This window comes from Homo sapiens, chromosome 11, assembly GCF_000001405.40.
Source record: "Homo sapiens chromosome 11, GRCh38.p14 Primary Assembly".
NCBI classification, from domain to species: Eukaryota; Metazoa; Chordata; class Mammalia; order Primates; family Hominidae; genus Homo; species Homo sapiens.
In genome coordinates, this window is record NC_000011.10 from 22,797,725 (window position 1) to 22,818,603 (window position 20,879).

General features: G+C 37.1%; 1 protein-coding gene across 16 annotated transcripts in view; it reads left to right on the plus strand.

Annotated features, from left to right (window-relative positions):
• GAS2 (growth arrest specific 2) overlaps window positions 1–15,331 on the plus strand; it is a 187,054-nt gene extending 171,723 nt beyond the window's left edge. For 9 of the 16 annotated variants that reach the window (NM_001391937.1, NM_001391934.1, NM_001351224.3 and 6 more), the window contains one exon: window positions 14,074–15,277. In NM_001391937.1, the coding sequence (NP_001378866.1) occupies window positions 14,074–14,292 (219 nt within the window). In that variant the 3' untranslated portion in view covers window positions 14,293–15,277. Of the gene's footprint in view, window positions 1–14,073 lie in introns of all 16 variants that reach the window. The other 7 variants (NR_147085.2, XM_047426745.1, XM_011519972.4 and 4 more) reach the window with 1 other exon arrangement.
• The last annotated feature ends 5,548 nt before the right edge of the window (window positions 15,332–20,879 follow it).

Below are 20,879 nucleotides of genomic sequence, written 5' to 3' on the forward strand. Positions count from 1 at the left end.
AGATTTCATTTTTGAATGTGAGCTCAAGGGCTAAGCACGCTGGCTGCTGCTAACTTTCAGCATTTTTGTATGGCTAAAACAATGAGGCTCAGATTCATAAATTGTTCCAAGCATGTAAAGCACCTTCTTTATTGTGGTTTTGGGGTTCATTCCCAGTTGGGCAATATGATCATCAGCAAGGACTTCATAAAATGGCAATATGTATCCCTAAAGAAAAGAGGTGTTGCCTGTGGAAAGACCTTTAAAAACTCAGGTGACTGTACCCTTGGCAAAGTCACTTTAGGATGTATAGTTGAGTGGTAATGAGTATTATCTGAATCCTAAGAGATTTTCAAATCTGAACTTCGTTGCTTCTTAGCTAGGTGACCTTGGGCAATTCACTTAACCTTGTCGAGCCACTGTTTTCTCATTTTTAAATATGAACATAATGCAAACCACTTAGAGTTGCTCCAAGGATTAAATGAAATAAAACCTGTAAGAACCTTATCATTATCAGTGGCAGCAGCAGCAGCACAACATTATTATTTAAAAATAACAATAGCAGGCTATTTATTATTGAGTCTACACCATGTTCCAGGCACTGTTTCTACATGCTTACACATATTAATATCTGTGTTTGAACAACTATGGGAGGAAGGAATTACTATAGTCATTATTTTGCAGATGAGAAACTGAGACACAGATTAAAGAAATTTATTCTGGTCATACAGCAAGTTGGCAGCCTGATAAAGGAAAAACAAATAGGAGCTTCTGCTCTGTTTACTGTTATTTATCTCTCTGAAGTTTTATCTAAGAAAAGGGTATAATAAGCTAAAGGACTATTGGGAAGTTAAAATGAGATAGTAAATAAGATAATAAATAAGAAAAAAATGCTTGTAAAGAGTAAAACGGTAATTCCAGAAGCTTGTTTATTTGGGCTGTGATTAACAATTTGTAATCGCACGTAACTAGAGAAGTTGAAATGAATTCCCCACCTTTGGCAAGGACGTCTTTAAGTGTCATTTGTTATTAGTAGTGCCTCAGTTTGCCCTGCTAACAGGTGATCTTATCAGTTATCTTGAAAATGCTAGAATCAAGCTTTCAACATGGCAAACTATCCATGGAACACCTGCTGTCTCACTCCTCCATGTGTCAAGGTACCTCAGGGAGATAGCTGAATTCCCAATCACCCAATTTTGAGCATATGCCATTTCAGAATAATATTAGACAATGACAGAGTCTGTTGTCCTATAAATTAATTTAACACTTTTCCTCTGGAGAGCAGATGACTGCATTCTAAAAACAATATTTTCTCTCGAGTTATGATGGCTTGTAAAAACACACAGTGAATGGAGTTGACAGGAAGGTGTTGGGAAGCATATGATATCCCAGGGGGCTGAACAGATCTAAATTTAGGTGGGTTGTCTCTACTAGGCAGTTGGTGTCAGATACCATTGCCTCTTAAAAGGATGACTTCAGTGAAGAGCAGTTAACAGATTGTGCAGAAACATAAGCCTCTGTGGTCCATTAAGTGGGGAATCATTTAATGAGACCCAGAGTTGCACTGAGGGAACCATGGCACTTAAGCATTAAAAGACAGAAAAGGAAGGGGTGAAAATTTTATGAAGCAATTTATTACTGCTGTAAACCATGTATTTTAAAAAATGCATTCCAGGTATAATAAGAACTTGTGAATGAAGATCATGAAGAGAATAATGTACTTAATTCACTATGGATTCTGTCATGATATTTGTTTCTTCTCTTTTTGCTTCCCTTTTCCCCATTTCTTCTTCTTCTGTTTCTCTCTTGATTCTCAATACAATCTCCCACTTTCTTATGCAATTCCTGTTATAGCTTCAATTTTTGACCCACGTCTATCTTTCTCTCAAAGAAATTCTCTAAGCAAAAATTGGTCTGAATTATCATTCACACAGATTTTTTTCAGACTCCTCTTTCTAAATAAGGGCATAAACCATTTTACCTTTCTCTTTCTCCTATCTTTTCCTAAATAAGCAATGCAGATATAATTTATAAAGGTAGTGTTGCTTGGAATGGGGCATTAGTAAGTATTAGTTTTGTTCATCCAGTCGTTTAACATGCATTTATTCATTTAATATTCATCTAATAAACATTGTGTGCCCGGCACTGTGCTAGGCACCCAGGGTATGAAATTTAGCAAGGAATAACCTTGCCTGCCACTCAACAAATATTTGTTGAATGATCAAAGGAAGGGATTCACTTTAATTCACCTAGTGAATGGGGAACAATTCTCTGCATGTATAAAGGCAGGAAACTTTCTTGGGATTTTAAGGAGTTCACAATATCTATGGAGTGAGTAATTTGTTGAGTGGGCCTGGGCTCAGAAGGTAGGACTACATGCAGTATAGTACAGTTGTGCAGTGCACATCCTGAACAGTCATACATGATAACTCTGGCATAGTAAGAAAGAATGTGGGAAAAGAAAATAGTAGCTGGGCTATAAAGTGCTTTGCGAGCCAGGTTACTTGTTCTTATGGAGGGATGAGGGTAGAAGTAAAAGAGAAGGTATCAGAATTGCTGTCAAATTTTCCACATTATGTATGCTTCTGACCACCATGGGGATGCTGATGTCCTCCCCTTACCCCTACTACTTTCCCAGGATCTTCGCCACATTGCCAATTTACTGTAAGTCATATTTCTCAGGTGAGCTGTAGCTAAGAATGTCTGAGAAACACTAGACAATGGAGAGCCCTCACAGGTTTTTAAGAAGGCGGTAGCATGTTCAGATTTTCCTTTGAGGAAGATTACTGTGGCTCTGGAGTAGACGGTGGACTAGTGAAGAGTGAGAGATGAGGAGACATCCTGCTGAAAAGCGTTCATGTCCTCAAGGTCTAATGACATCTGTGTTCAGAGCACTTGACAGATACTCCTGCTGCCCTCAGTTTTCAGGGCCACCAGCACAATATTAGAGACAGAATGAAACAGATTTGTCACTGTCATCCTGAGAGGGCGATGACACCTGACACATTTCATACGAATTACGATTTCAAACAGACAGGGACATTCAAGCAGATCTATGCTGGGGAATTAAATAAAGCTATAAAATATAAACATGAACTTTTAATTTAAAATTCTCATTGAAAAGACATTTCCTGTTGGGTAGTTTTTATTTTTGTTAGTGGTTTTGCTTGTTTGTTGTTTATGTAATATAGCTAGGATATATACAGCTTGGTTATCTTAAAAAACAAGTACATTACCAATAAATGCATATTTTTTTCTGGCTCTCCTATGTGGCCATTACTTTTTCATTTAGTAAAACATATGATTTTCTGTGATCTACATGAATGTAGACTTTACCTTTTCAATGAAAAGCGAGTTGATATATTTGTTTCTAAACACAAATGTTCCCAAGAAAAAGGAAAAGACATTCTTCTTTTTTTATTGCTTTAAGTTCTTACCTCCATATAATGTGATTCCAGCCTGTCTTGCTAAACTACATAACTAAGAGACAGGGGAAAAAAAACTCCTTTCTGAAATCCTGTTATCACATATCATAGAAGCCAGAGCACTAGACCCCTTGATACTGCAGTGACCTCCCCAAGACCCACAGGAAGCTGCTGACTGATCATTTCTACAACTTACGAAATTTTCATTATGTTCTAAGTTAACATGGGAAAGTTAACTTATTTCATTTCAACTTATTTTTCCCCTTTGGATTAAGTATCTGGATGAGCTAAGAAACTTGATTGGGGTGGGGGCATGGGATAGTTTTTTTTTTTATTATTTAATGTTAGGAAAATAAAATTAAAAGGTCTCAAAAATGTGTATTCAATTCAGTAAAACATAGATAGTGACTTACGTGACATGATGTAATAAATCACTGCTGTATCAATATATTAAATGATACACGGACCATTAAATATTGCATTCATTATTAGGAAAATAATTTTTGAAATAACACAGCTCCTTAATTCTAAGGTCATATGCTAGATGGGGAATAAAGATGTGGTTTCTAGCCTGGCTCTGGTGAACCACCTATGTGACCTCTCAGACTGTGCATCTGTGCAACATTGCCAGTGACCTCGATGTTTCTTTTTAATCCTCTTAATTTCAACAGGGCATATTCGTAGATTACTTGGCACATAGTAAGCACTCTACTATTGTATGACTCTATGTCATTCAAGGAAACACTTTCCCTCTTACTGTCACATATGAAGAGGTTTTCTAATTAAAACACATAATTAAGCATCACAGTAAGACAAAGTCATGAAACAAAATGCTCTTGATTAAGAATGGGAGTGTTTCTTCTCATTACTGAGAGAAAATATAAAAAAAAAAGCAAAAAGACAACTTTGAGACATATTGATTCTTTCCTCTTGACAAGGAATGTGTATCATTAATAGAAACAAAGAAATGATTTACAGTGTTTGCAACAGCCTGAGTATGCTTATAGAGCTTCATTAGGGACACTGGGATAAAAGCTGAGATAATTTCCAACCATCATTCTGAGCAAACTATCACAAGGACAGAAAACCAAACACTGCATGTTCTCACTCACAGGTGGGAATTGAACAATGAGAACGCTTGGACACAGGGTGGGGAACATCACACATGGGGGCCTGTTGTGGGGTGGAGGGAGGAGGGAGGGATAGCATTAGGAGATATACCTAATGTAAATGGGGAGTTAATGGGTGCAGCACACCAACATGGCACATGTATACATATGTAACAACCCTGCAGGTTGTGCACATGTACCCTAGAACTTAAAGTATTAAAAAAAAAAAAAACCCAAGCTGAGCTAAGATTTTGGTCACGGTCTTTTTTTTCCCCCTTCAGAATTGAGAAATGTTGCTTAAGTCAGTAATGGATCGCCTTGACTTTGCTATGATCAGAGGCACAGTAAGGAATGAAGCCAATTGTTAAAAATGATGACAGCCATAATAAAACCTAACATGCAAAAACTACTGCTTTGCAACTTATAGTGTTGGAGGCTATTTGTAGCAACTCTTTTATTTCTTATCAACAACAAAAATAAAGAAAAATAACAAACACCAACATAGGACTAAATACTCGATATTCAATATAGTCATGTACTCTATAACAATGTTTCAGTCAATAAGAATGGTTCTGTAAGATTTTAATACAGATTTTTACTGTACTTTTTCTATGTTTGGATATCTTCAGATACACAAATACTTACCATGTGTTATAATTGCCTATGTATTCAGTACAGTAATTTGCTGTACGGGTTTGTAGCCTGGAAGCAACAGGCTATCTTATGTAGCTTAGGTGTGTAGAAGGCTGTGCCATCTCGTTTTGTGTAAGTACACTCTATGATGTTCACACAGTGGTGAAATTGCCTAACACACATTCTCAGAATGTGTTCTCATTGTTACGTGTTGCACAACCATTCCTCAATTGACATATGCATTGATGCTACTGGTCAAGAGCCGCTACCTTTTAGAATGAAGAACACAAAGTTCAACTCTGTGAAGCATTAAAATAAAAAACCAGTGAGATATACACTGGACAGAAATCAAAGCCCCTTCTTACTTATGCCAACAGATAACTAGTGTATTCCGTCGTGTTACCTCACTAGACACGTTTTCTTCTGAAATAATTAGGGCTACTTGAGGATAATCTTCTGAAATTAAATTTAATGTTTATTTAAGATTTGTTAGGACATAAGCCTATGAATCATTTTAAATGAGCACAGTTAATCTGCTTACACTACTTACTACTTCTGATATTAGTGATATCTTGCCTGTGCTGAATTATCACAGATAAGTAACCAAGCATGGGTGAAAACCAAAATCTAGCACTTTGCAGAATATGTGGGTATGTTTTAATGGAATAAAGGATTCTTGTCCCAGTTCTGCTACTGATTTGTTGTGTGATCCTGCCTAAGTTGCTTAACTTCTCAGAGCATCAGTATTCCTATCTATAAAAGGAGTAATACTGATAATGACATTATAGATTAGATAAAGTAGGTACAACCTGTGGAAGTATCAAATGAAAAGAAGTATTATATGATAACAGTATTGACCCTGTTCTGAGTTTGCATATATGAGATTCCAAAAATGAAGACTACATCATCCCTCTCTTCAGAGAGCTCACATATTCTGAAAAGGGACATACAGGTAAATCAGCAATTGCAATATTGTGGGATTCATGTAACTGTGAAATCATGTATAAACTAAACAGTACACAGCAAGGAAGGGTTCACTTATCTGGGGAAGGAGATGAACATGGAAGATTTTCCATATTCTGAAAAGGGACATACAGGTAAATCAGCAATTGCAATATTGTGAGATGCATGTAACAGTGAAATCACCTGGAAACTAAACAGTACACAGAAAGGAAGGATTCACTTATCTGGGGAAGGAGATGACCATGGAAGATTTTCCAGTTGGGGGTGATGTTTTGAACATCAGGGAAGAAGCAAGGGCTAGAGTTATAATTTGGGAAACAAAAGTAGGTGGTAGTGAAAACCATGAGGTTACAAACAGAGAATGGTTAGAGTCAGAAAAGCAGTAGACAAAGGACAGAATATGTTAGAATGGCAAAACTTAACAATGTAGAAGAAATGTAACCTATCAAGGAGGCAGAGAAAGAACAATGAGATAGGTAGCAGGCAATTCAGGAGACAGACTTGTCACAGGTAGTCAAGAAGTGGGGAGTTTCAAGGAAGGAGTGGGCAATATCATTAGATACCTTGCTTGACAAAGTTATCATGAAAAATAAAGTTTAAGGACCATATATTGTATTTGATACATTAGAAGCCGTCTGGCTTCCTTTCTCTGTGCAGTCAGTTAAGAGGTAGAGGGCAGAAGCAAAGTGTACTGTAGGTTGTACCGTGATGAGCAAGTGAAGACACCAAGTGTGAATGTAACTATCAAGAAGGTCAGATGTAAGGAGAAAGTATGAAAGTAAGAGTGGAAATTAATGAGAGTTAGAACATAGTGGGAGGAATTGAACTTGGACAGGAGAACTTCTGAGATAAGAAAGGTGGAGTAAATGATAAGTGTAGATTCAGGTATATTGGCCAGTAGAGGTGTCAAGAGAGGATGCATGCTTGATAAAGGTGAAGTCATTGGTAGGCTGATGGAGGGTGGGGACAAGTAGTGTGTTTGAGAATAATAGATAAAAATGGGAAATGGAGCTGACCAAAACTAAAAGGATCACTTAATTGCAATTGGCCTGATGTCACTAATCTGTGAGATGGAAGAGTTCTTGGATGAAGTATATAATCTTCCTTCTAAACCAGCTCAGCATCTGTGCTGGAAAAGCTCATTGTAGTGCAAGCATTCTAGGGAAAGGGAGGGAAGAGTTTAAATAATAATAGCAGGCTGATTTGCTTTTAGGTTAAACAGTGGGAGTTTGGTTTATGGAGATGGAGGTGAGTGTTCAATTTTTTTTTTTTAGATCGGTCACATACCAGAAAAGCATGGAATTTTAATCTCTATAATCAGAGCTATAAATCTCTATGACAGTAATATCTTTTTTAAAAAAGAATTTATATATGGGTCCTCTTCTATTTACATATGTATTTGTTTAAATTGACAGATAAAATTATATGTATTCATCATGTATAACGTAAAGTTTTAAAGTACATATGCATTGTGGAATCACTAAATAGAGCTGATTAACAAATGTATTACCTACATAGTTATCATTTTTGTGGCAAGAACTCTTAACATCCACTCTTTTTGCATTTTTTTAATTAAGGAAGAATACAATATATCATTCTTAACTATAGTCATCATGCAGTACAACAAATCTTTTGAACTTATTCCTCCTATCTTTCTGTAATTATATATCCTTTGACTAACACCTTCCTATCACCCTCACCCACCAACCACTTCTGCTTCTAGTAACCACCATTCTTTTCTCTACTTCTATGAGATCAACATCTTTAGATTCCACATATGAGTGAAATTGTTGCAGAAAAGGGGTCTGGATCCAGACACCAAGAGTGGATTCTTGGATAAGTCCACAGAGTAAAGTGAAAGCAAGTATGTTAAGAAAGTAAAGAAATAAAAGAATGGCTACTCCATAAACAAAACATCCCTGAGTGCTGTTGGTTGCCCATATTCTGATTATTTCTTGATGAAATGCTAAACAAGGGGTAGACTATTCATGCCTCTCCCTTTTGGACCATATAGGGTAACTTCCTGATGTTGCCATGGCATCTGTAAAATGTCATGGCACTGGTGGGAGTGTCCAGTGAGGATGACCAGAGGTCACTCTCATCGCCAGCTTGGTTTTGATGGGTTTTGGCTGGCTTCTTTACTGCAACCTGTTGTATCAGCAAGGTTTTTATGAGCTGTGTCTTGTGCTGACCTTATCCTATATCTGATCCTATGACTTATCCTGTGAAATATCTCATTCTATGACTTAGAATGCCTTAACCATCTGGGAATGCAGCCCAGTAGGTCTCAGCCTCATTTTACCAAGCCCCTATTCAAGATGGAGTTGCTCTCATTCACATGCCTCCGACAAAATCATATGGTATTTTTATCTTTCTGTGCCTGGCTTCTTTCATGTACCACAATGTCCTCTGGGTTCATTCTCGTTGTTGCAAACAACAGGATTTTCTTCTGTATTATGGCTGAGTAGTATTCCATTATGTATATAAACCACATTTTCTCTGCCCATTCATCCATTAACGGACATGTAGGTTGACGCCATATCTTGGCTATTGTGAATAGTGCTGCAGTAAACCTGGGAGTGCAGATATCTGCACTTTGATATACTGATTTCATTTCGCTTGTATATATACCTAGTGGTGGAATTGCTGGATCACATGGTACCTTTATTTTTAATATTTTGAGGAATCTTTATGCTGTTTTCCATAATGGCTATACTAACTTGCATTTCCACCAATAATGTGTAAAGGTTCCCTTTTCTCCACATTCTTGCCAACACTTGTTATCTTTTGTATGACCCTAATATCTTAATCCCAAGCTTGAAACCTTCAAACAGCTTAGCCACTGGCTTTCTTAGCAAATTATAGGTTACTAATTAGCAAGGTCTAACTGAGACGTCAGCAAGAATAACTCAGAATTGAAAATCTGTTTACTAGAGTATATCCCCAGACAGGGCCACCTATTTCATGGAGAGAGGTTGTAAGGTTTGCTGTGGAAACCTCATAATATTGACCTAAAACCCTTCCATCTCCCAAGAGTAGCCAAAATGAGGCATGAGGAAAGGTAATGGATTCCACAATTACTCCTCATCAATATGAAATCAATATTCTTCTTTGAAGATGTAGAAAGTCCTTTCTGTTTTAAGTATTATGGGTAAGTACATGAATCATGGATGCTTACACCCTTGTCAAATACAGCATCAAGGAAGCATTCAGTGAAAGGCAATAGTGTATTTATGTATGTTTTCATTTTTTTCAGTGTAGCTTAGAAACAGAAAAGCAAAGAAAAAAGAAAAAACGACTCCTTCAAAGCAAGAGAGAAGCATTTTACAGTTCTGATAAATTTATAAGGACCCAAGCTGCAGAGCACTGACTAGGTCCATAGAGAAGATCAGGAAAAATATAAAACTGTCTTTGCAATAATTGGAAAATCCAAACAAACTACTAAGGCTGATACCTAGGAGAAATCTTCCAAGAGAAAGAAACCTCTGATATCTGATTTTACTATTAGTAATGTCCCATTCTTAAGGTGTCCGTATAAGGCAGTGTCTCACGTAAGATGTTTTAAAGGAAGTTGCATCTGTTTCTAAAAGGAAAACAATTCTCTAATTTTGTGGAACATGTTTTTAAAATGTAGCTATAAATTGTCTGTTCATTATTTCCTTTAAAAGCCTGGGAGTGGAAGGAGGTCAGCTCACGCCTTTGGAGAAAAACACCTCTCCAGTTACTGCCTACAGAACAACAGTCAAAGGGAAATTGTTACCAATACACCAGCAGTTTGGTCTTTGTCCTATTGCTCTCTGCGTGGAAAGTCAATCACTAGGCAATGAGTGTTGCCAGGAAAGAAGGCTTTTTCAGGTGCTGCAGCCTGTAATAGGAGATCAGTCCCAAATCCATCTCAACTGACTAAAATTAGGGGTTTATATAGCAGAGAAGAAATATAACTATGTGTAGGAAAACAGGAATTAGGGATGGGCAAGGAGGAGAAGTTGGTTACAAGAAGCAGGTGGTCCCTTAGGCAATCATGATGGGTGAGGGGTCTGGCTCCCATGGTGCAGATGTGATGATCTGGTAAGTTTCAGTTGCTTGACACTGTCTGGGAGTCCTGATGATTGATTTTCTGAGAAAAGAACTCAGATAAGACAGTTTTAACTTTCTCAAATTTTAAGACTGGGAGGGTCAATGTCTATGTTTATTCAAAAGAAATCATAAACATCAGTTCTATGGGACACTTGGGCAAGTTTCAAAAGGATGAGATAATCTCATGAAAAACCTAGATTCGGGTTTCAAAATGAGAAAACAGCAAATATATCCCTCCGCCTCACAATGACACAAAATCAATCAACAAAGATGTATGCCTCCTCCAACTATAGCTCTTATCAAAGGAACCTTCACATGATAAAGCTAGACTTTGGAGATAGATGTTATTCACAAAAATACAATTATGTCCATTAGACTCCTCTTACAAAGGCAGGAAAGTAAACCTAGATACATTGTAAAAGTATTTCCTGCTAATCCTCCCCTATTGACTGTGGTAAGAATATTGGACTGAAACCAACATCTGCAGTAGAAAGGATGTGGAAGAGGAAGTGAGCAGAAATTTAATTCCTGTATTATTCATATTCAGTATGGGACTCTGTTTCATGCTGTATCCACTTTGCAAAGTACTATGGATTCATTAAGAAATTAGCAAACTGAATATGTGCCTAAATGGCCAGCATACTCCAGGCTGAAAAGTGTTTCTGTCACTGCTTCCTAGAATTGTTTAAAAACTGTTGTGACTGGTGGTTCTTTCTGGTTGAAATGGCCTGCTCACAAACACTGAATTAGACTTGGGCATTTTGCCAGGGGCATTGATACCAAGAATGTTTGGAGGCAAGTCTTAAATGTAATTTGCAGAGCTAGGAGGTGCCAGAACTTCAAAATAGGCAAAGTTGCTCTCTCGAACAGTGGTAGAAAGAATCAAAGTGTTATTCTGACACTGGCCTTGGCAGTTTTTGTCCCAGTGACTTCAAATTTTGGAAGCTGGCAGTAAGACACATGCAGAAACTTGTGGGAATATGAATATGTGGATGAAATTATAAAAGCCCTAGTGATTTTATTTCTTTAGTGAAAGCTGTCATGAGTAAAGGACTAGACTGGAGTCAGGTGCTAAGAATCTGGCTCCAGTCCAACCTGACTCCAGTCAGGTTCTTGTTTTACAGAGGCGTACACTGAGAACCAGATCTTTGATTTGATTTGCTTGGGTCCTAAAATCTGGTTCTCAGTGTCTACATATGTAAAACAACATGGTACTGTGACCGAAACACCATGGGTTAGATCCTCTTGCTTGCTACATAGAAAGCTAATCACTAAGACAATGAGTATTGCCAGGGAAGGAGGCTTTATTTGGGTGCTGCAACCAAGAAGAACAAATCAGTCTCGAATTCATTTCACCAATCAATTAAAATTCAGGGTTTCTATAATGGGGAAGGAATGTAGCTACATGTAGGAAAACAGGAATTTTAGGGAGGGGCAAGGAGTCTGGCATTTAATTGTCTGGTGTCATCTGTTCCTTGCCTAAAGGTCAGTTTGCTGAGGAAGAAACTCAGATAAGACCAATTTAAGTTTCAAGTTTAAGACAAGGGAGGGTCAATTTCCATATTTATTTATTATTATTATTATCATTATTATTTGAGATGGAGTCTCACTCTGTCACCCAGGCTGGAGTGCAGTGGCACGATCTCAGCTCACTGCCACCTCTGCCTCCCAGGTTCAAGCAATTCTCCTGTCTCAGCCTCCCGAGTAGCTGAGACTACAGGCGCCTGCCACCATGCCCAGCTAATTTTTTTTTTTTTTTTTTCAGTAGAGATGGGGTTTCACCATATTGGTCAGGATGGTCTCAAACTCCTGACCTCAGGTGATCCACCCACCTCGGCCTCCCAAAGTGTTGAGATTACAGGCATGAGCCACCACGCCCGACCATATTTATTTTTAAAAGTAAATATTAGTTCTATGCGACACTTGAGCCAATTTCAGTACTACTGGGAGGGCCAGGAAAGGCAAAGTAGTTACAAGCTAAATCCTCTTTTTATCTGCTTTATATTTCAGGGGTTCTCATTGAGATTTTGTTTAATGAGTATGTTCTGATGCTAAAATAAGTTTGAAGACTTCCAGCTGGAAGATGTGTTCTAAGGTCCTTTTGTTACTGAAATGTCAGAGGTTCTGTCTAGGTCCTGCTGCTCACTGCATAGAACGCCAGTCACTGAAACATTGAGTATTTCCAGGGGAAAAAGCTTTATTCGGGTGCTGCAGCCAAGGAGCTAGGTGATCAGTCTCAAATCCATCTACCTAATAGATTAAAATTAAGGGTTTATATAGCAGGGAAGAAATGTAGCCATGAAAACAGGAATTAGGGAAGGGTAAGGAAGAGGAATTGGTCAACAGGAAGCACATGGTCTATTAGGCGATCACAACAGATGAGGGGTCTCATGTCTCATTGTCCAGATGCGGTGTTCTGGTAAGTTTCAGCTCCTTGATACTATCTGGGAGGCCTGATGGTTGGTTTCCTGAGAAGGGAACTCAAATAAGACAACTGTAATTTTCCCAAATTTTAAGACTGGGAGGGTCAATTTCTATATTTATTCAAAAGAAACCACAAACATCATTTCTATGGGACAGTAGTGCTGGTTTCACTTTCTGTTCTAAATTTCTCATACTCTAAATGAGAATAACCAGTAGAAATACATTTAATTCTTATAAATCAAATAGCTTTAATTACTATTTTTCATTAAATTTTTATTAGTTGGTACAATATTTGATTTTGAAAACTGCTTCATGTCAACCACATAAATGAAGTTCTGTGAAACCCCCAAATACACATGGAGAAATTTTAGATACAGGCATATAGAAAGCAGGTCCAAAACCTTTATCAAAACCTACATGAAAGTGGTAAGAACAAGTGGTAAGAATACAAGTCATCTCCCACTGGCTGGGAGTCAAAAAAAAAAGTCTAGATCTCAAGCTGACGCCAAGTAAGAAGAATTGAAACAGATTTTATAGGCTCTATGATGTGACTTCCCAGACTTTCTCTCACAATCACATCCTCTTCCCAACATTACAGTGCCCGTATGTATCCATAACATTTTGGGCAGGAGAGGGAGTCAGCAGGGTCTTTGATGATCATGCAACATTACCTCTTAATATTAAATTTTCTGATATTTGCAAGAAGCCGATGACAAATTATTTGGTTTTCCATGTCAAACCTCCATGATATATTTTACTAGATACAAAGAATCATGCATTCTTCACATTTAAATCAATAACCTTGTTAAGTTGGAGCTCTAGATGGCTCCTGGGCCTAGGGGTAAGTTGTTTGTTTTAAAAGACATATTCTACGATAATTAGGAAGAAAAAGAATAAAGAAAAACATAAATGTTTGCCTATTCAAAAACACCTTGCCTTCAAGGGCTCAGACAATGACTGGGGAAAACTCCAATAATTTTTTTAGTGCACTTTCAATGTTATTTTGTATTGAGTATTTGTCTGACTCTTAGCATTGTAATTCAGTAGCAGACATTTCCATGGTCCTTAAAATCCTGATTCAGAGGGGAATAACCCACTGGGAAAAATGGAGCACTAAGCTGAGTCAGTAGGCAGGAACCAGAGGCAGTAATAAGAACTGTAATAGAAGATCAGATGTCAGAGAGAAGCCTCCAGACACATTAAACCAAAGAATTATACGTAGGTGCTGGTTCCCATAGCACAGCAAAGCTGGGTTCTGGAGATGTTTATTCTTATCACTTCCACAGAAAAAAAACAGGACTTCTTTCATAGACTATATGCTAACTCAGACATTTTGCACCAAGTAGAAAAACAATGGGTCATGAAATACAAACCAAAACACTAATTTCACTAGAACCAGGGGTTGATTCAAGGTACTGTAAGAATTCTCGGAATTTAACACTTTTGATATTTTTTCATTTCAGATGCTGCACAACAAACATGTCATGGTCCGTGTGGGAGGAGGCTGGGAAACTTTTGCAGGGTATTTGTTGAAACACGACCCCTGCCGAATGCTGCAGATCTCCCGTGTGGATGGCAAAACATCCCCTATCCAAAGCAAATCTCCAACTCTAAAGGACATGAATCCAGATAACTACTTGGTGGTCTCTGCCAGTTATAAGGCTAAGAAGGAAATTAAGTGAAACAAATTGGTCATGACAAGGGGACCCTCATAATGGCCTGTATCCACTTCTCCAGTATAGTCAGTTTAGTTCATATGTTCTGAAAACTGTTTTGGAGAAAGATAGACAGAAAAATGTCATCATATTGAAAAATGTTCAAAGAGTAGCACTATTTATTTTTAATGCTTCTGTAGAATATGACCTATTAAAAGAAAATCTAAACTCAAATTTAAATTATCCAAATTTTAGGCAAATTATTATTTCTCAATATGCGAACACAGTATTTAGAACACAATATTAGAAACACAATTCTAACTAAAGATAAATAAGGAGAAAACATTTAGGATTTGCAGATAAGTCAACAGAAAGTGCCTGCTTTACACTCATGAGTAAAAGCACTCCAGACATTTTTATAATTGCAAGATTTTTATGCTTTTTTTTTTTTTTTTTTACAAAATGATGATTAGTGTGATAATGTGCTGCAAAAAATATCCAACAGCACTACACATAAGTACAGAGTATTCACAATAGTAATATGTTACTGGAAAGGCCACTTCCGAAAAGTTTACATTCACTTGGAAGGCTGCCTTAAAGTATATCTCTTATCTATGACCAAATATCTGGGGTACTTTTAGAAGTTTTCAGTACACCCCCTTAGAGAATAGCTTATGAGTTATTTCACACATTCCTGAGCACATGGCTGTGTTTAGAATGATCTAGTGTAATTCATACATGAGCTGACATACGTTGATACTTTGACGAGTAAATTGTACAGTCAAATGTTCATTGATTTCATGTTATTTCAAAGCATTTTCTTATTAAAAATATATCTTTAGTTAATCCTATTTTGCTATGCTTTCTAGTAAAGTAAATTCACTGTAGCTAATGATGTTACAGACTTACGTATACCCTTGTATACCTGGGACAGGGCTGTTTTATACCAATAAACAGCAAAATATTGTCCTTACTCATTCAAGAATTAAAAGGATAAATTTTAAAAATGTTATCTGTCTCTAAATCAATGCCTCATTCTGAAATCAAGTTAATTTTCAAATGGCAACTTTCTCCAACAGTTATAAGAAGAATCAAATTAGGGCTCCCTGGCACTTCTTCACTTTGGGAGATGAGTGATGGTGGTGTTAGTTTTCCTTAGCAGAGAGTTCAGGTTTTATTATAAGTGCTGCTCTCAGTATAAAAAGGATAGAAAATTAATTTTTCATGTATTCATTTTTCAACATCAACAAAAGAATCCACCTTTCTTGCTCCAAAAAGTCAGGAAGGAAGAATATTTGTCACATGACAAATTTAGTCAAAATATACATAATGTGTTAATTGAGAAGTTCTTAAATAACATGCATGGCATAATTTTGTAGTGCTGGAAGTGATGATAATCATTTGGGGGAGAGAAAGTCAGTGAAACCTAAAAAAAATAAATCGATTAAAAAAAAAACCCTGAGATGTTGTATGAGATAGTCACCTTGGTGCAGTGAATAATTCTAATATATTTTAAAATATAATGTTGAGTGATAAAGATTAAGATCTTTAAATTACCTAATACTGACACTGAGTTTCTTTGTATAGTTAATGACAATATTTCCATCAACATTTTCTCCTGTGCCTAAATTTGTTCCATAAGCGTATTTATATCCTTAATAATATAATTCCACTGCCTGTCTCTAAAACAAAAATTAAAGATAATAGTCAACTTCATTAAAGAAGTGTAGCTTAACAAAAGTAATATTAACCTCTTTATCTTTTGCATTAGTAGTTATCTATTGCTGCATTAAATTGCCACAAACTTGGTAGCTGAATAAGCATGTTTATTATCTCACATTTCTGCAGTCATTCAACATGGTTTCAATAGGCTAAAATCAGAGTGTCACCAAGGCTGTTTTCCTTCCTGAAGAGTCTAGGGGAGCATCCATTTCCTTTCCTTTTCCATCTTCTAGAGGCCACCTGCATTCCTAAGCTCCATGATTTCCTTCCTCCATCTTCAAAATCAGCAATGTAGCATCTCTATGACCCGTCTTCTTTCTTCACATCTCTTTCTCTCATAGGTTGGAAAGGTTTTCTGCTTTTAACAATCACATGATTAGCTTGGATCTACCTGGATAATCTATTTTAAGGTCACTAACTTGAGCACATCTAAAGAATCGACTTTGCCATGTAACAACATATTCACAGCTTCCAGGGATTAGGACATGAACATGTTTGGCAGGGAGGGAAGGATTATGATACCCATACCACATCTAAGATGGTCTTTTAAGTGTCACTGAAAACATGGTCACAACTGGCACTGGAGTCTAGCTGCTAGTCAATCGGCACCAACCAGGGATGTGAAAAAAACTGAGACTATATTCAGCCTCTTACTCCTCAACTCCTTATTGAAGACTGGCCAGGACATAGACCAAGTAGGTTAATGTCACCTTATTCTCAGCTAGATGTAAGATCCAAAGAAGGACAATGGAGAGATGGGTCCAATAGCCAATGAATAAAGGATTAAAAAGTCTAAATAGTCTAGAAATCTGGTTGCAAACAGAGTGGAAACATCTCAAACCAGAAGTTCAAGTAAATAGTAAAAAGGCCACAGTGAGAAATAATATCAACACACTGAGCAGACTAGGCTGATTCTGAAATTAGGTGACTCAATGCTATCATATTCAGTGTCTCCTGATGTGGGTGGGGACAGAATAGTACCTACAGGATACCTGGTAAAAGTGCTTGAATCAGAGACATATAAGGAATGATTTCAGGAACGCTGGGAGGTGTTCATTTTTTATTGTTAAGAAATTACTTGGAGGAACTGTTAGCTGTCTTGTCTACAGATTGTTTTGTACTAGCAAAAAGAATAGAAGCAGGGAGAAAGAGTAGAAAACTCTGGATCACCAAATGTAGCTCAAAGGAAAGAGGAACTTTGTTACAAAAATGATCCAAGACACAATGCCCACCTTATAAGGTACTTGACACTTTGTCACTGAAAAGACAATATCGACTAGAGTTGACTTCCTCAAAGATGTTACCAAAAGAACATTTAAGAACACTGGGTGAGTAAACTAAATTTAAACTTGTTTGTGATTAATTAAATTTTTTCTCAGATTCCTCTCTCTGGGTCATGTTGGGGCTATCTTTGTCCTTAGGGTTTCTGAAGACCATTGACTATCTCTCAGAAAAGAGCATGAAATGAGTTTTTCTAGACATATGAAGAAGGAAACCAACCAACTACATCTCTAATGTGTAAAATATCTTCAGATTAACCATGAAGTTATGAAATCTTATAATCCTCTCATTTTGCATTTTAAGGGCCATAAGGCATCAGAAAGTTTAAATAATTTGCCTAAGGTAAAACAGGTAATGGCTCTAATTCCAATGCTTTTCTTTTCTTAAAATTCTATTTCATGAATCTTAATCAGATTGGGGTAAAACGGGTCAAATCTCAATCCCAATTCATAGAAACTCAAAAGTGGAAAGATTAAAAATTATCTCAAGTCCTCTGATTTTAAAGTTGAGGAAATTTTCTAGCTAAATTTCCCCAAAGTTAAACATGCGTCTGAAACTCATGCCTTTAGATGCACAATTAAATGTTATTTCTATGATCTCTAGTGTCAAAATCTTTGTGCATAAAAGGATCTTAGTAGCTGAGAGTTGGAAGGAGTCTTTAAGTATTGAAGACTAATGGCCTGACTGATAACTGCTGTTCACATTGCTATATCATGTGTTTATCTCCTATAAAAGTAATTCATATTATTTTGGGGGCCCTGTGGGAAATTTATTTTTACCATTTTGAGAAATATACAACTGTTTTCCAAAATGGGTGTACCAATTCCTCTTTACACCAGCAACGTACGATAGTTTGTTTTTCCATATCCTTGCCAACAATTGGTATTTCCACTTTTACCAATCATAGCCATTGGAGGAAAAAAGGGAGGGCGTGTTTTTTACTTTAATTTCCTTTTTCCTAATGACTAATGAAGCTGAACATCTACGTGGTAATGCTTGTTTTACAGTTTCTTTGGTGAAATGCTATTCAAATCTTTTGTACGTTTTTAATTGGATTATTTTATTGAGATGTAAGAGTTCTATGAATTCTGGATATAAGCTACTTATTTACAGTCTACAGTTTGCCCTTTTTCTTTTCTTCTGTTCCTCTCCTGTCTCTCTCTCTCCCCTCCTCCTCCCCGCCCACCTCCCCCTCCCCCATCTCCCTGCCCCCACTTTTCTCTCCTCTCTCTCCCCTCTCTTCTTTTGAGACGGAATATCATCCAGGCTGGAGTGCAGTACTACGAATCTCGGCTCACTGCAACCTCCACCTCCTAGGTTCAAACAATTCTCGTGCCTCAGCCTCCTGAGTAGCTGGGACTACAGGCACGCACCACCATGCCTGGCTAATTTTTGTATTTTTAGTAGAGACAGGGTTTCACAATGTTGGCCAGGCTGGTCTCAAACTCATGAATTCCAGCGATCCACCCGCCTTGGCCTCCCAAAGTGCTGGGATTGCAGGCGTGAGCCACTGCGCCCAGCTGCCTTTGAAATTTAATAGTGCTTTTGAAATTAAAATTTTATGAAGTTCAATTTATTTTTTAAATTAATAATGCTTTTGGTGTCATATCCAAGAAATCTTTGCCTAACTCAAGGTCATAAGGATTTTTTCGCATGTTTTCATCTAGAAGTTCCATGGTTTTAGTTACTGCATTCAGCTCTATGACACATTTTAATTTTTGTGTATGGTGTGAAGTAAAGGCTTGAGTTAATTTTATTGGCATATGGATTCAGTTTTCCCAGCACCATTTGTTGAAAATGTTATTTCCCCATTTCTCCATTGAAGTGCCCTGTAAAAAATGTAAGTTTATTTCTAAACCTTCTATTCTATTTCACTGATCTAGCAGCTATCCTTAGGCCAATACCACACTATCTTGACTATTGTGACGTTATAGTACATTTTGATATCAGGCTGTATAAATTTTCCTACTTTTCTCAGCAATTGCAATTTTAAAAGACAATTTTGACTTTTATTTTACATTCAGTGGGTACGCATGAAGGTTACATGGATACATTGCATAATGCTGAGCTTTGGGGTGAAATTGATCTCATCACCCAGGTGACTATAGTATCCAATAGTCAGTTTTTCAAACATTGCCCTCCTCCCTCTCTCCCCACTCTAGAGTAGTGCCCAGTATCTATTGTTGCCATCTTTACATCCATGAGCATCTAATGCTTACTTCTCACTTATAAGTGAGAACATGTGGTATTTGGTTTGGTTTCTGCATAAATTCATTTAGAATAATGGCCTTCAGCTGCATCCATATTGCTGCAAAGGACATAATTATGTTGTTGTTATGGCTGTGTGTAATATTCCATGGCATATATGTATCATATTTTCTTTATCTAGTTTACCATTGATGGACACCTAGGTTGATTCCATGTCTTTGCTATTGTGAATAGTGCTGCAATGAACATACATGAATGCATGGCTTTTTTGGTAGAATGATTCATTTTCTTTTGGATATATACCCTGTAATGGGATTGCCAGGTCCAATACCAGTTCTAAGTTCTTTGAGAAGTCTCCAAACTGCTTTCCACAGTGGCTGAACTGAATGACTTACATTCCCACCAATAGTGTATTAGCATTCCCTTTTCACCACAGCCTCAGCAGCATCTGTTGTTTTCTTAAGTTTTTAATACTAGCCATTCTGACTGGCGTGAAATATATCTGACTGTGGTTTTGATTTGGTTATCTGATTAGTGATGATGAGCATGTTTTCACATTTCTTGGCCACTTGTATGTCTTCTTTTGAGACGTCTGTTCATGTATTTTACCCATTTTTCAATGGGGTTATTTTTGACTTGTTGAACTAAGTTCCTTATAGATTCTGCATATTAGACCTTTGTCAGGTGCATAGTTTGTGATTATTTTCTCCCATTCTGTGGATTGTCTGTTTACTCTGTTGATAGTTTTGCTTGCAGAAACTGTTTGTCTCACTTGTCAATTTTTATTTTTGTTGCAATTGCTTTTGAGGACTTAGGCATAAATGTTTTCCCAAGGCTGATATCCAGAATAGTGTATTCTAGGTTTTCTTCTAGGATCCTTATAATCTGAGATCTTACAATTAAATCTTTCTTTAATCCATCTTGAGTTTCATTCTTCTGCTTACAGCTAGCCAGTTATTCCAGTACCACTTATTGACTAGTGAGTGTTTTCTCCATTGCAATTTTCATCAACTTTGTCAAAGACCAGATGGCTCTAGTTGTGCAGCTTTATTTCTGAATTCTCTATTCTGTTCCATTCTGTGAAAAAATGACATTGGTAGCTTGATAGGAACAGCAGTGAATTTATAGATTGCTTTGGGCAGTATGTCCATTTTAATGATATTGATTCTTCCAATCCATAAGCATGGAACATTTTTCCATTGGTTTCTTTCAGTGTGTATTGTAATTCACCGTTTAGAGATATTTCACCTCTTTGGTTACATGCATTCCTAGGTAGTTACTGTGTGTGTGGCTATTGTAAATTGGATTGCATTCTTGATTTGGCTCTCAACTTGAATATTATTGATGTATAGAAACGCTACTGATTTTTGCACATTTACTTTGTATCCTGAAACTTTACTGAA